This window comes from Homo sapiens, chromosome 15, assembly GCF_000001405.40.
Source record: "Homo sapiens chromosome 15, GRCh38.p14 Primary Assembly".
In the NCBI taxonomy this organism is placed as follows: domain Eukaryota; kingdom Metazoa; phylum Chordata; class Mammalia; order Primates; family Hominidae; genus Homo; species Homo sapiens.
In genome coordinates, this window is record NC_000015.10 from 44,453,449 (window position 1) to 44,470,041 (window position 16,593).

The following is a 16,593-nucleotide window of genomic DNA, read 5'->3' on the forward strand; positions in this document are numbered from 1 at the left end:
AGTTCTAGGGTACATGTGCACAACGTGCAGGCTTGCTACATATGTATACATGTGCCATGTTGGTGTGCTGTACCCATTAACTCGTTATTTACACTAGGTATATCTCCCAATGCTATCCCTCCCCCATCCCCCCCACCCCACGACAGGCCCCAGTGTGTGATATTCCCCTTCCTGTGTCCATGTGTTCTCATTGTTCAGTTCCCACCTATGAGTGAGAACATGCGGTATTTGGTTTTTTGTCCTTGTGATAGTTTGCTGAGAATGATGGTTTCCAATTTCATCCATGTCCCTACAAAGGACATGAACTCATCCTTTTTTATGGCTGCATAGTATTCCATAGTGTATATATGCCACATTTTCTTAATCCAGTCTATCATTGATGGACATTTGGGTTGGTTCCAAGTCTTTGCTATTGTGAATAGTGCCGCAGTAAACATACGTGTGCATGTGTCTTTATAGCAGCATGATTTATAATCCTTTGGGTATTTACCCAGTAATGGGATAGCTGGGTCAAATGGTATTTCTAGTTCTAGATCCTTGAGGAATTGCCACACTGTCTTCCACAATGGTCGAACTAGTTTACAGTCCCAGCAACAGTGTAAAAGTGTTCCTATTTCTCCACATCCTCTCCAGCACCTGTTGTTTCCTGACTTTTTAATGATCGCCATTCTAACTGGTGTTGAGATGGTGGTATCCCATTGTGGTTTTGATTTGCATTTCTCTGATGGCCAGTGATGATGAGCATTTTTTCATGTGTCTGTTGGCTTCATAAATGTCTTCTTTAGAGGAGTGTCTGTTAATATCCTTCACCCACTTTTTGATGGAGTTGTTTTTTTCTTGTAAGTTTGTTTGAGTTCTTTGTAGATTCCAGATATTAGCCCTTTGTCAGATGAGTAGATTGCAAAATTTTTCTCCCATTCTGTAGGTTGCCTGTTTACTCTGATGGTAGTTTCTTTTGCTGTGCAGAAGCTCTTTAGTTTAACTAGATCCCATTTGTCAATTTTGGCTTTTGTTGCCATTGCTTTTGGTGTTTTAGACATGAAGTCCTTGCCCATGCCTATGTCCTGAATGGTATTGCCTAGGTTTTCTTCTAGGGTTTTTATGGTTTTAGGTTTAACATTTAAGTCTTGAATCCATTTTGAATTAATTTTAGTGTAAGGTGTAAGCAAGGGATCCAGTTTCAGCTTTCTACATATGGCTAGCCAGTTTTCCCAGGACCGTTTATTAAATAGGGAATCCTTTCCCCATTTCTTGTTTTTGTCAGATTTCTCAAAGATCAGATGGTTGTAGATGTGTGGTGTTATTTCTGAGGGCTCTGTTCAGTCCCATTGGTCTATATCTCTGTTTTGGTACCAGTACCATGCTGTTTTGGTTACTGTAGCCTTGTAGTATAGTTTGAAGTCAGGTAGCGTAATGCCTCCAGCTTTGTTCTTTTGGCTTAGGATTGTCTTGGCAGTGTGGGCTCTTTTTTGGTTCCATATGAACTTTAAAATAGTTTTTTCCAATTCTGTGAAGAAAGTCATTGGTAGCTTGATAGGGATGGCATTGAATCTATAAATTACCTTGGGCAGTATGGCCATTTTCACGATATTGATTCTTCCTACCCATGAGCATGGAGTGTTCTTCCATTTGTTTGTGTCTTTTATTTCATTGAGCAGTGGTTTGTAGTTCTTCTTGAAGAGGTCCTTCACATCCCTTGTAAGTTGGATTCCTAGGTATTTTATTCTCTTTGAAGCAATTGTGAATGGGAATTCACTCATGATTTGGCTCTCTGTCTGTTATTGGTGTATAAGAAAGCTTGTGATTTTTGCACATTGATTTTGTATCCTGAGACTTTGCTGAAGTTGCTTATCAGCTTAAGGAGATTTTGGGCTGAGATGATGGGGTTTCCTAAATATACAATCATGTCATCTGCAAACAGGGACAGTTTGACTTCCTCTTTTCCTAATTGAATACCCTTTATTTCTTTCTCCTGCCTTATTGCCCTGTCCAGAACTTCCAACACTATGTTGAATAGGAGTGGTGAGAGAGGGCATCCCTGTCTTGTGCCAGTTTTCAAAGGGAATGCTCCCAGTTTTTGCCCATTCAGTATGATATTGGCTGTGGGTTTGTCATAAATAGCTCTTATTATTTTGAGATACATCCCATCAATACCTAATTTATTGAGAGTTTTTGGCATGAAGGGCTGTTGAATTTTGTCAAAGGCCTTTTCTACATCTATTGAGATAATCATGTGGTTTTTGTCTTTGGTTCTGTTTATATGCTGGATTACATTTATTGATTTGCGTATGTTGAACCAGCCTTGCATCCCAGGGATGAAGCTCAGTTGATCATGGTGGATAAGCTTTTTGATGTGCTGCTGCATTCGGTTTGCCAGTATTTTATTGAGGATTTTTTTTTTTTTTTTTTTTTTTTTTTTTTGAGACGGAGTCTCGCTGTCGCCCAGGCTGGAGTGCAGTGGCACAATCTCGGCTCACTGCAGGCTCCGCCCCCTGGGGTTCACGCCATTCTCCTGCCTCAGCCTCCCGAGTAGCTGGGACTACAGGCGCCCGCCACCTCGCCCGGCTAATTTTTTGTATTTTTAGTAGAGACGGGGTTTCACCGTGTTAGCCAGGATGGTCTCGATCTCCTGACCTCGTGATCCACCCGCCTCGGCCTCCCAAAGTGCTGGGATTACAGGCGTGAGCCACCGCGCCCGGCCTTTATTGAGGATTTTTGCATCAATGTTCATCAAGGATATTGGTCTAAAATTCTCTTTTTTTGTTGTGTCTCCGCCAGGCTTTGTATCAGGATGATGCTGGCCTCATAAAATGAGTTCGGGAGGATTCCCTCTTTTTCTATTGATTGTAATAGTTTCAGAAGGAATGGTACCAGCTCCTACTTGTACCTCTGGTAGAATTCCGCTGTGAATCCATCTGGTCCTGGACTTGTTTTAGTTGGTAGGCTATTAATTATTGCCTCAATTTCAGCTCCTGTTATTGTTCTATTCAGAGATTCAACTTCTTCCTGGTTTAGTCTTGGGAGGGTGTGTGTGTCCAGGAATTTATCCATTTCTTCTAGATTTTCTAGTTTATTTGCATAGAGGTGTTTATAGTATTCTCTGATGGTAGTAGTTTGTATTTCTGTGGAATCAGTGATGATATCCCCTTTGTCATTTTTTACTGCGTCTATTTGATTCTTCTCTCTTTTCTTATTAGTCTTGCTAGCGTCCTGTCAATTTTGTTAATCTTTTCAAAAAACCAGCTCCTGGATTCATTGATTTTTTTTAAGGGTTTTTTTGTGTCTCTATCTCCCTCAGTTCTGCTCTGATCTTAGTTACTTCTTTTCTTCTGCTAGCTTTTGAATTTGTTTGCTCTTGCTTCTCTAGTTATTTTAATTGTGATGTTAGGGTGTCAGTTTTAGATCTTTTTTTTTTTTCTTTTTTTTTTTGTTTTTTTTTCTTTTTTTTGAAACAGGCTCTCACTGTCGCCCAGGCTGGAGTGCAGTGGCGCGGTATTGGCTTACTGCAGCCTCAACCTCCTGGGCTTCAGTGATCCTTCCACTTCAGCCTCCCAGGTAGCTGGGACTACAGACATGCACCACCATGGCCAGCTAATTTTTGTATTTTTTATAGAGATGGGGTTTCACCATGTTGCCCAGGCTGGTCTTGAACTCCTGGGCTCAAGCCATCTACCTGCCTTGGCCTCCCAAAATGCTGGGATTACAGGCGTGAGCCACTGTGCCCAGCCTGCTTTGAAGCCAGGCACTGACTTCTCATAGCTGTGAAAGTCCTAGATGGCATCTGTTTCCAGCAGAAAGCTGTTTCGTCTACTTAGAAAATCTGTTGTTTTAGTATAGCCACCTTCATCAGTGGACATAGTGAGATCTTCTGGATAACTTGCCTCCACTTTTATATCAGCACCTGCTGCTTCACCTCACCTTGCACATCTATATTATGGAGACAGCTTCTTTCCTTAAACCTCATGAACCAAATAGTGCTAGCTTCAAACTTTTCTTATGCAGCTTCTTCACCTCTGGATTAGCTTTGGTTTAAGGGAATGCTGTGGCTGGTTTGATTTTATATCCAGACTACCAAAACTCTCCATGTCAGCAAGAAGGCTGCTTTGCTTTGTTAGCCTTTGTGTGTTTATTGGTGTGGCACTTTTTTGGTTGGGGGGGGTGGTGCGGGGTGGGAGAGGGTAGTGATGGAATCTCGCTCTGTTGCCCAAGCTGGAGTGCTATAGTGTGATCTCTCCTCAATGCAACCTCCGCCTCCCGGGTTCAAGCAGTTCTCCTGCCTCAGCCTTCAGAGTAGCTGGGATTACAGGCCCCTGCCACCACGCCCACCTAATTTTTGTATTTTTAGTAGAGACAGGGTTTCTCCATGTTGGCCAGGCTAGTCTGGAACTCCTGACTTCAGGTGAGCCACCTGCCTTGGCCTTCCAAAGTGCTGGGATTACAGGTGTGAGCCACTGCGTGCCCAGCCTGTAGTTTCTATTTTTTAAAAAGTTTCTTTTTTTTCTATGATTGTTTTGTTGAGTTACTAAAAACAATTTCTGAGACTCTAATCTTTGCCAGGAATTTCTGTACATTTAGAGTTTAAAGTGCTTAATTGGAGTTAGTTTGTTCTGTGAGTGTATCCACTATGGTGAATAGCTTTATTGTCCTTTGCACATTATAGCCTTTACTAGTCCTTTTTTCATTTTGAGCCTCAGAATGGTAAGGTAAATATGTTTTTTTATACATGTGATAAAACATAACTAAGTGACTACAGATTAGCCATGATTGGAGTAGGATTAAAATTCACATCTCTTAATTCTTCGTTTAGTATTCTTTGTATTGTGTTTCACAGATTCTAATTCAGTTATGTCTTTAATTCTAAGTGTTGGGACAGTTTTGCCAGCAATTAATTGTCTTACCTATAAAATGAGAGAGCTCAAATAAATAGCCTCATATTTTCTTTCTGATGTGAATCGTTTTAAAAGTATCATTAAATGTGGTAAGATAGGACTTTCTCAAAATGATCCACATTCTGTTGTTACACTTATATGGTTGTTGATTATTAGAATTGTGCTCATGGAATTCATTCATTCATTGGCTGACATTACTTTTCCACTACCCAGTGAGTTACAGAAAAGCAAAACCTTTCCTTATCTTGTTTACTATTTACTCAATTCTTACTTGGCCCAGTGCCTTGAATGTGGCTATGTATGCAATAAATATTTGTCGAACGAACGATTAAACGAATAGTAGTGTTGGCAGGCAGTATAGTATTATGTAAAGAGCATGCACACTCCTTGGTGTTACCCTTACTTTAGATCATAGGATATATTATAATATTTCAGAGGTTGTTGGGAAGGTTACTTGGGATAATATAAATAATGTATAAAGCATAATGCCTTTTACTTAAAATGTTGGTTTCTTACTGCAGTCTCCTAGAGTCTAGGACTTTTGTTTTTTTAGCCAAGATATTTTTATTATATAAGCTGGGCACATTTGGGTAGAGAAGGTTGAATTTAATAACTTTTAATTTTTTATTACATTTATTATTTTTCTCTTTTAGTTTTACATGTGGCACCCATAAAAGATGAGGCTGAGAACACGGAAAGCTTCTCAGCAGTCAAATCAAATCCAAACACAACGCACTGCCAGAGCAAAGAGGAAATATTCAGAGGTTGATGATAGCCTGCCTTCAGGAGGAGAAAAACCATCGAAGAATGAAACCGGCTTGTTGTCTTCAATTAAAAAATTTATTAAAGGAAGCACACCTAAGGTAATGATTTTACCATATACTTTCATATCATTAAAAGTGAAAATTGGCCGGGCACGGTGGCTCACGCCTGTAATCCCAGCACTTTGAGAGCCCCAGGCAGGTGGATCACGAGGTCAGGAGATCGAGACCATCCTGGCTAACACGGTGAAACCCCGTCTCTACTAAAAATACAAAAAATTAGCCGGGCGAGGTGGCGGGCGCCTGTAGTCCCAGCTACTCGGGAGGCTGAGGCAGGAGAATGGCTTGAACCCTAGGGGGCGGAGCCTGTAGTGAGCCGAGATCGCACCACTGCACTCCAACCTGGGCGACAGCGGGACTCCGTCTCAAAAAAAAATAGTGACAATTATGATATTTTCTCTAAGCATGTGTAGATGAGAAATCTGATAGCGCACCAAAAACTACGTTTTGGTGTTAATTTTACTTCTAAGAGTTTTACATGCAGAATATTTAATGGCAGTTTAAGAAGAACATTATTCCACTGAACTAATCCACGTAGCCTTCTGCTTTTTCAACATAGTATTATGGGAAGCAAAATAAATTTTTCCTTGTTCTTTTACTTGAGTTGTTTCTTTTACTTTCATTTTCTTTCAAAGAAAAAGTTTCTTGTTAATATTCACTGTCTAGGGAGGTGATGTCTCTCATCTATTCAAGTTCTAACATTTGTATGATGAAGATGTATTGCTTCGTTAAAGAGAAAAGAACATAAAGAAAGAATGGACACGGACCAGGAGTCTTGTACTCCAGATTCATATTCTGGACCAACTTGAGTGACCTAAGGAGAGAGTCATTTACCCCCCAAGCCTCAGGAAGATAGTAAATGGCACTGATACCAACTGCTTCGTCTATCTCAGAGTTGTTTTCAGATTAGATGGTACAACAGGTAGAAAAGCAGTTGGATGAATTTTATTTTATTTTATTTATTTATTTTTGAAACAGAGTCTTGCTCTGTCTCCAGGCTGGAGTGCAGTGGCGCATTCTCCGCTCACTGCAACCTCTGCCTCCCGAGTTCAAGTGATTCTCCTGCCTCAGCCTCCCGAGTAGCTGGGACTACAGGCGCCCGCCACCACACCAGCTAATTTTTGTATTTTTAGTAGAGACGGGTTTTCACTATGTTGGCCTGGATGGTCTTGATCTCCTGACCTTGTGATTCGTCCGCCTCGGCCTCCCAAAGTGCTGGGATTATAGGCATGAGCCACCGCGCCCGGCCTCAGTTTGATCACCTTTAATGCACTCTATCAATGTATAGTATTATTGATTGTGTGTAGTTTTTTTATGACTTTACTATTTTTGTGTTCTTAGAATAATTATTTATATGGTAAATTTTTCATTATAATGGAAGTGTATTACTTTCTTAAGCAGAAAAATAAATTACTGGCTGACTTGTTCATAGGGATAGATTTTGTTGTAATAGAATTAACAAAGCCTAATTACTGTAAGTCACTGGGCAAGATTTGGAAGTATTCTTGGTTTGCATAGGGTTTTAATTTTTGTTTTGGTGGTTTTATTTTTTGTTTTTGTTTGTTTCTAATACTATAATTTCTTTGTTAATTTTCAGTAATTAGAAATTTTAAAAAGTTTCTGAATTTATGTAAACTGAGAAAATATTCTAATGTTATCATATAACAAAGATGAAATATCTTCCAGAAACCTGAATTTCCATCTCTATAAATTCCTAATGGGTTGTCATCAGCCTCTGTTGATGGGAACCTTGCTACGTATTATTACTTCATTCTTCTGAGCAGCTTTAGTTGTCATAAAGTGCGTCCTCATCTTTTGCTTTCTCATGTTACTTTTTTGTAGTTTTTTCCACTTGAAAACAGATCTGTGTTTCCTTACATGTGCAAGTACAAACCTTCAGTCATTATACAGGGCAGCTATTTCTAGTTTTCCTTATATGACATATGATATTTATCATTATCTTGGTCACCTTTATCTGTTATTCATGAAAGATAAAAACCAGAAGTGAAGATAGGTTTTTGTTATGTCTTCAGAATTCTATTCATATTTATAGTTGACCCTTGAACAATGTGGAGTTTAGGGATGCTGACTCTCCCATGTGGTTGAAAATCCACATACAACTTTTGACTCTCCAAAAACTTAACACTAATAACCTCCTGTTGACCAGAGCTTTACCAATAACATAAACAATCATTCAACACATATTTTGTATGTTATGTGTATTCTATACTGTATTCTAATTTTTTTTTAGACAGGATCTTACTCTATTGCCCAGGCTGGAGTGCAGTGATACTATCATAGCTCACTGCAGCCTTGAACTCCTGAGCTGAGTTGATCCTCCCATCTCAGCTTCCTGAATAGCTAGGACTACAGGCATGTACCACCATGCCCAGCTATTTTTAAAGTTTCTCTCCCTTTTTTTTTTTTTTTTTTTTTTTTAAAGAGATGAGGTCTCATTTATATCGCCCAGGCTGGTCTTGAACTCCTGACCACAAGCAGTCATCCCACCTTGGCCTGTCAAAGTGTTGGTATTACACACCTGGCTTTATATTGTATTCTTACAATAAAGTAAGCTAGAAAAAAAGAAAATGTTATTAAGAAAATCATAAGGAAGAGAAAATATGTTTACTATTTAAATGGAAGTAGAGCATCATAAAGGTCTTATCCTCATTATCTTCTAGGCTGAGGAAGAGGAGGGGTTGGTCTTTCTGTCACAGAGGTAGCAGAAAATTTGTGTATTAATGGACCAATACAGTTCAAACCCAGGTTGTTCAAGGATCAGCGTACTTCTTTTGACAGTGAATTGTTTCTTTCATTCCCATTGCCCAGGCTAGAGTGCAGTTGTGCAGTCACAGCTCACTGCAGCCTTGACTTCCCAGCTCAGGTGATGCTCCCACTTCAGCGTCCCAAGTAGCTGGGACTACAGGCTTTTGCCACTATGTCTGGCTAATTACTTGAATTTTTTAATAGAGGCAAGGCTTCACCGTGTTGCTCAGGCTGGTCACAAACTCCTGGTCTCAAGCTGTTTGCCTGCCTGGACCTCTCAAAGTGTGAGCCACTGAGCCTGGCTGAATTGTTTCTGTTAATGTGGTTTTGTGTTAAATTATACTTTTTGTCCTTCTTTAGTAGCTTAATCTCTGTTGGTCAGCAAATTTTGGCTCATGTCAACTGGAACAGCAGTCCCCAACCGTTTTGGCACTAGCAGCTGATTTCAGGGAAGACAATTTTTCCAGGGACCAGGTCAGCCAGGGTGGGGTTTAGTTAATGGTTTGGGGATGAAATTGATCCACCTCAGATCATCAGGCATCAGATTCTCATAAGGAGCACACAGTGTAGATCCCTTTATATGCACAATTCACACTAGAGTTCGTGCTCCTATGAGAATTTGCTACTATTGATCTGACAGGAGATAGGGCTTAGGCAGTAATGCTTGCTGGCTCACCGCTCACCTCCTTCTCTGTGGCCTCATTCCTAACAGGCCATGGACTGGTACCGTTCCATGGCCCAGAGGCTGGGGACTCTTGAACTAGAACACTCAGGACTTTTTTTTTTTTTTTTTTTTTTTTGAGACGGAGTCTTGGTCTGTTGCCCAGGGTGGAGTGCAGTGGCACAATCTCAGCTCACTGCAACCTCTGCCTCTTGGGTTCAAGCGATCCTTTTCCTCAGCATCCCAAGTAGCTGGAACTATAGGTGTGTGCCACCATGCCCAGCTAATTTTTGTGTTTTTGTAGAGATGGGGTTTCACCATGTTGCCCAGGCTGGTCTTGAACTCCTGGCCTCAAGTAATCTGCCCACCTCAGCCTCCCAAAGTGTTGGGATTACAGGCGTGAGCCATCGTGCCCAGCCACTCAGGAGGATTTTTCTGTAGAAATTTTTGTCCAAGTTTCTTTTTTTGTTTTAGCTAAATCTAAGATCTTTCATTAATGCCTCATTACTCAAAGATGTTACATAAGATCGGGCAAAAATCTGTTTGTAAGCTAATGTTGATTGATTGATTGATTGAGACGAAATCTTGCTCTGTCGCCCAGGTTGGAATGCAGTGGCACGATGTCAGCTCACTGCAACCTCCGCCTCTTGGGTTCAAGTGATTCTCCTGCCTCAGCCTCCCGAGTAGCTGGGACTACAGGCGCCTGCCACCATACCTGGCTGATTTTTGTATTTTTAGTAGAGACGGGGTTTTGCCATGTTGGCCAGGCAGGTCTTGAACTCCTGACCTCAAGTGATCTGCCCACCTCAGCCTCCCAGAGTGCTGGGATTACAGACATGAGCCACTGTGCCGGGCTGTCTTATTTATTAATTAACATTTTTGGGTAAGGTTTTTCATACAGCTACAAATTCACTTTATTGTGCTGTAACTGAACTCAGATTTTAAAAATCATATTCTATAAGATTATTATTGAAATTAATATTTGAATGCTTTACTAAAATCGGAGTGAAATCACAATTGTATTTTCCCAGACAACTAATCCTGTGTTAGGAGTAAATAATGTGGTTAATTTGTCACATATTAGTCTTAATGAGCTTATATGGCTTTTAATTATTGTTGCTTTCTTATCTACAATGTCATAAACCATATTCTTAATCACATATTCTAAAATTGCGTTGAGTGTCTAGACAATGCTTGCTTACGTATGTATCTTAAATACAGTGTCATTGTCTTTTTCAAAATTTGGGTAGGAGTTCACAGCTAAAACCTATTGAATATTAACCATCTTTTGATGTTTTATAGGTGAGAACAACAGACTTAATGAATTTAGGTAACTTGCAGTGTCAATAGTAACAATAACAACAATAATTATAATAATAACCTACCCAGGTTAAAAAATAACAGTGAAGACCAATACGACAGCTTTTACTTTTTTTCTTTTGAGATGCAGTTTCACTCTTGTTGCCCAGGCTGGAGTGCAATGGCATGATCTCTGCTCACTGCAACCTCCACCTCCTGGGTTCAAGCGATTCTCCTGTCTCAGCTTCCCGAGTAGCTGGGACTACAGGCATGTACCACTACGCCCGCAACAGCTCTTACTTATGGTTAGTAAGCAGTTACTATTTGCCAAGCACTGTCCTCAGTGTTTAAAGTGTAATAATTTAAGCCTTACAAACCATATGAGATAGGTGTTACTTTTATATTACAAATGAGGAAGCTGAGGCACAGGGAGGTTAAATAATAACTTGCGCAAAGTTACTTAGTTTTAAGTGGCAAAGCTGGAGCCTAGTTTACCTGGCTCCAGAGCCTACACTCCTAACCACTGTATACTACTGCATCTCCAATAAGTGGTGCTGCTAGGATTTAAACTCATATGTATTTAACTGATACCTGTATTATTTCTCCTTTATTATTGTCTGTCAAAGTGGCTGGACGCTGTCTAGAAGTCCAAGAACAAGATGCTGGCCAACATGCTTCCTTCTTAGATCTCTGTTCTTGACTTATAGATGGCTGCCCCTCACACCCCTCACATGGTCAGTCTTCGGTCTGTGTATGGTCTGTGTCTGCATCTTTACAGACACTGGTCATACTTCTTTAGGGGCCACCTGAAGAAATCCTCCTTTTTTTGTGCGTGTATGTGAGACAGAGTCTCTCTCTGTCGCCCAGGCTGGAATGCAGTGGCGCTGTCTCAGCTCATTGCAACCTGTCTCCTGGATTCAAGCGATTTCTCGTGCCTCAGCCTCCTGGATAGCTGGAATTACAGGTGTGTGCCACCACACCTGGCTACTTTTTGTATTTTTAATAGAGATGGGGTTTCTCCATGTTGCCCAGGCTGGTCTTGAACTCCTGACCTTAAGTGATCTGCCTGCCTCGGCCTCCCAAAGTGCTGGGATTACAGGCGTGAGCCACCACACCTGGCCAAGAAAACCCTTTTAATTACTTTTTTAAAGGCCCTATCTTCAAATACGGTCACGTTCTGAAGTATTCAGGTTAGGGCTTCAACATAAACTTTGGGGTAACACTATTCAGTGTGAATGAAATCTTTGGTCTCTCAAATACAGATTTTGTGATTCAAAGACTTCAGATTTATGAAATTATCAGCAAGATTATTCAGGAATTGTTCGTGTGCAGCCTTTCTGCTTTTTAGCACAATGAGATTTCTAATATGTAATTGAAGGCCTCACAACTAAAATATATTTGTTTTCTACCATGAATCTCTGTATTTTTCCAAATATGGCATTTCCAGAGTTTTCTTCATAACAAAATGACCTTTTCCTCTATTCTTAACTAAATGATGTTACAGTTAAGGATCATAAATTTCCATATGAATGCAGTTTTAATGAAATACCTGTTTTTAGACCTTTTAACTGTGGTCTACAAAAAGAAACACATGGCTAATACTTTCATGTGAAACAAAAATCACCCTTAATTTATGTGATGTGCTCTGATTTTTCTGTTTTGTTTCTTCTTCTAAAGGTGATTGTATTAATTTAAATTGATTTGATAATACATTAATGGGTTAAATTTCTTAGTTTGAAAAACATGATTAGATGAACATTTTTGTTCAAAATCTTTAACTCTGATTTGCCAAACTTTGTAGTTTTATTTGGGAATTTTCCTCCTCCTCTTTTTTTTTTTTTTTTTTTTGGATGGAGTCTTGCTCTGTCGCCCAGGCTGGAGTGCAGTGGTACAATCTGGGCTCACTGCAACCTCCATCTGCTGGTTTTAAGCGATTCTCCTGCCTCAGCTTCCTGAGTAACTGGGATTACAGGCATGTGCCACCATGCCTGGCTAATTTTTTGTATTTTTAGTAGAGACAGGGTTTCACCATATTGGCCAGGCTGGTCTTGAACTCTTTTTTTTTTTTTAAAGACGGAGTCTCACTCTCACCCAGGCTGGAGTGCAGTGGGACCATGTTGGCTCACTGCAACCTCCATCTCCTTGGTCCAAGCAATTCTCCTGCCTCAGCTTCCTGAGTAGATGGGATTACAGGCACCCACTACCGTGCCTGGCTAATTTTTTTATATTTTTAGTAGAGACGGGGTTTCACCATGTTGGCCACGCTGGTCTCGAACTCCTGACCTCAGATGATCCACCCGCCTCAGCCTCCCAAAGTGCTGGGATTACAGGCGTGAGCCACCGCGCCTGGCCAGAACTCTTGACCTCAAGTGATTCACCCGCCTTGGCCTCCCGTAATGGGATTACAGGCATGAGCCACCACACCTGGCCTTATTAAGTTTCTTTAACTACTTGATTAATTGAAGTAATTTGCCACTTACTATGGAATGAAAAAAAATCAGCTCAGACTAACTGGTGGAATTTATGGAGGAAACGACAGTTTAAGATTCATTCATATTCATTCATTCTCTTCCCACCACCACACACACAAGCATGTATTTATATTTAGTCATGTGTCACTTGACAATCTGAAATGCACTAATTGGCAATTTTGTCATCATGTGAACATCATAGTACTTATGTGAATCTAGATGGTGTATTCTACTACTTATCTAGGCTATGTGGTATAGCTTTTTGCTCCTAGGCTACAAACCTGTACAGAATGTTACTGTACTGATTGGCCGGGCGCGGTGGCTCATGCCTATAATCCCAGCACTTTGGGAGGCCGAGGCGGGCGGATCATGAGGTCAGGAGATCGAGACCACAGTGAAACCCCGTCTCTACTAAAAATACAAAAAAAAAAAAATTAGCTGGGCATGGTGGCGGGCGCCTGTAGTCCCAGCTACTCAGGAGGCTGAGGCAGGAGAATGGCGTGAACCTGGGAGATGGAGCTTGCAGTGAGCTGAGATTGCACCACTGCACTCCAGCCTGGGTGACACAGCGCGACTCCGTCTCAAAAAACAAAACAAAACAAAACATAATGTTACTGTACTGATTATCATGGGCAGTTGTAACACAATGTTAAGTATTTATGTTTCTCAGCATAGCTAAACATAGAAAAGAAACAGTAAAAATAGAGTATTATAATCTTACGAGACCACTGTTCTATATGTGGTCTGCTGTTGACTGAAACATTGTATGGCACATGATTCTATTGCCTTGCTCTGTCTGCTGAACTGTGTGCACATAGCACCCAGATCTTGGTTTCTAAATACTGTTCTCCACTAAAGGAACTAGGGTTCTGTCTTGTTTTATGCATATATAATTATGTCATATGCCAAATAATGAGAGTTTTGCTTACCCTTTGTCATCACTGGGACTTATTTTTTTCTTCACTTATTACATTGGTTAGGATCTGTATTACCATGTTCAGTAGCAGTGGTGAGAACAACACCCTTGCCTTGTCCTTAGGGGAAGAGAATTTGTTTTACCATTAGGTATGATGTTAGCTAGATGTTTTTCTTAGTTATCTTTTATTAGTTGGTGGAAGTTCTTTTCTATTCCTGTTTGTAAAATGTTTTTATTTTGTTGTTGAGTTTTCTCAAAGGCTTTTTGGCTTCAGATTTCTCTTATTCTTTTCTTATTTATTTATTTATTTTATTTTTTTTGAGACGGAGTCTCACTCTCTCGCCCAGGCTGGAGTACAGTGGTGCGATCTCAGCTCACCACAACCTCTGCCTCCTGGGTTCAAGCAATTCTCCTGCCTTAGTCTCCCAAGTAACTGGGATTACAGGCACGTGACACCATGCCTGGCTAATTCTTTGTATTTTTAGTAGAGATGGGGTTTCACCATGTTGGCCAGGCTGGTCTTGAACTCCTGACCTCAAGTGATCTACTCGCCTCGGCCTCCCGAAGTGCTGGGATTACAGGCATGAGCCACTGTGGCAGGCCCCTCTTATTCTTTTAATGTAGAGTAGTACATAAATTTTTTTTTGAATGGAAATCGTAACTTGGAGTTGATTTGCTGGGGATTTTTTTTTAAGAATTTTTGTATCTGTATTCATGGAGGATTTCTTCTGTAGTTTTGTCTTGATTTGTAATGTTTTTAAATTTTGGGATTAAGATTAAGCTGGTGCCATAAAACAAGTTGAGGACTGTTCCTCCTCTTCTGAAAGAGCTTGTGTTCGATTGGTGTTATTTCATTCTTAAATATTTGGCAGAATTCACTGTTGAATTCTGGAGTGGGATTTCTAAAATGTAACTGGAATTTTCTTTGTGGGGTATCTTTTACTGTAATTTAGTTTCTCTAATATAGATGAGATTATTTAGCTTTTCTCTTTCTTGTTTTAGTCATACATGTTTTTAAGGAATTTAAGTTGATTTATTTGACATCATATTTTGTTGGTATTTATTAATTTAATACTGTCTATAGAATTTGTAATGGTGCTCCTCTTTTCATTCCTGATCTAGATAATTTATTGATCTTTATTTTGATGAGTCTTGCTTGGGTTTATCAATTTCATTATTCGTTCAAAGGGATTTTTAATATTAACTGTTCATTCTGTTTAATTGATTTCCACTATTTTCAGTATTTTCTGTTTTCAGTTTGATTTACTTTTACTTTTGTAGCTTCTTGAAGTGAGAGCTTAAATCAGATATCAGTAAACATTTTCTATAAATATTTCAGGTAAGAAATATTTTAGGCTTTGTGGACAATATTGTCTCTGTTGCAGCTACTATTCAACTGCCACTGTAGACGGCTACATAAATGAATGAACATGGCTTTGGACACGGGTACAGTAGTTCCCCCCTATCTTTGGTTTTGTGTTCCATAGTTTTAGTTACCTGTGGTTGCCAGGGTCTGAAAATATTAAATGGGAAATTTCAGAAATAATTGGTAAGTTTTAAATTAGTCACCTTTCTGAGTAGCATGATAAAATCTTACATCATCCTGCTCCATCACAACTGGGACATTAATCATCCCTTTGCCCGAGTATCCATATGTATATGCTGTACTCCTGTTAGTCACTTAGTAGCTTTCTTGTTTATCATATCAGCTGTGTAGATACCACTCTGTTTGTATTCAATTAATCCTTATTTTACTTAATAATGGCCCCAGAGTACAAGACTAGTGATGCTGATAATTGTTCTATTTTATTGGTAATCTCTTACTGTGTCTAATTTATAATTCAAGGTTTATCATAGGTGTATATATATGGAGGAAAAAACAGTATATGTAGTGTTTGGCACTGTCTGTGGTTTCAGACAACCACTGGAGGGTTTTGAAAGGTGTCACGTGAGCATAAGGGGGAACTACTGTATTTGAATTTCATATAGTTTTCATGTGCCATGAAATATTATTGTTCTTTTGATGTATTTACCTCCAACCATTTATAAGTACAAAAAATATTTTTACTTTCTTGCCCATATGAAACAATTAGTGTGCTGAATTTTGCCTATGGCTGTAGCTTGCTACTTCCTTGATTAGAACATTAATTTTACACTATTTTTTTTTCTAATGTAGGTATTTAAAGGTATGAATTTTAAAGTATTCCTTTCTCTATATGCCATATATTTTGATACCTTATTTTTTATTACTTCATTTTTCTTGTGATTTATTTTGACCCATGGATTATTCATTTCGATTCAAGAATATTAATATACTCTGTATAATTTGATTTCTTTGGTATTTTTTGGTACTTACTAGCACATATTCTATCTTGTTGAATGTTCTATATGTATTTGGGAATATATGTGATATTTCGGAGTTGTTCAGTGCAGTATTCTATAAATATCAATTATATCCAAATGGTTGATAATATTCTAATTTTCTATATCTTCTTTTAAAGTGAAAGCAAGTTTATTAAAGAAGTAAAGAAACAAAAGAATGGTGGCCGGGCGCGGTGGCTCACGCCTGTAATCCCAGCACTTTGGGAGGCCGAGGTGGGTGGATCACAAGGTCAGGAGATCGAGACCTTCCTGGCTAACACAGTGAAACCCTGTCTCTACTGAAAATACAAAAAAATTAGCCGGGTGTGGTGGCAGGCACCTGTGGTCCCAGCTACTTGGGAGGCTGAGGCAGGAGAATGGCGTGAACCTGGGAGGCGGAGCTTGCAGT

The 16,593-nt window shown here is 39.6% G+C and overlaps 1 protein-coding gene across 14 annotated transcripts in view; it reads left to right on the forward strand.

Moving 5' to 3' along the window:
- The window catches only part of CTDSPL2 (CTD small phosphatase like 2), a 101,410-nt gene that overhangs the window by 25,820 nt on the left and 58,997 nt on the right, over positions 1–16,593 (forward strand). For all 14 annotated transcript variants that reach the window (XR_007064454.1, XR_007064456.1, XR_007064453.1 and 11 more), the window contains exon 2: positions 5,543–5,752. Coding sequence is in view for 9 of the 14 variants with exons in the window: in XM_005254441.3 (XP_005254498.1) it covers positions 5,567–5,752 (186 nt within the window). In the remaining 5 variants the exon portion in view is untranslated. The remainder of the gene's footprint in view (positions 1–5,542; positions 5,753–16,593) is intronic.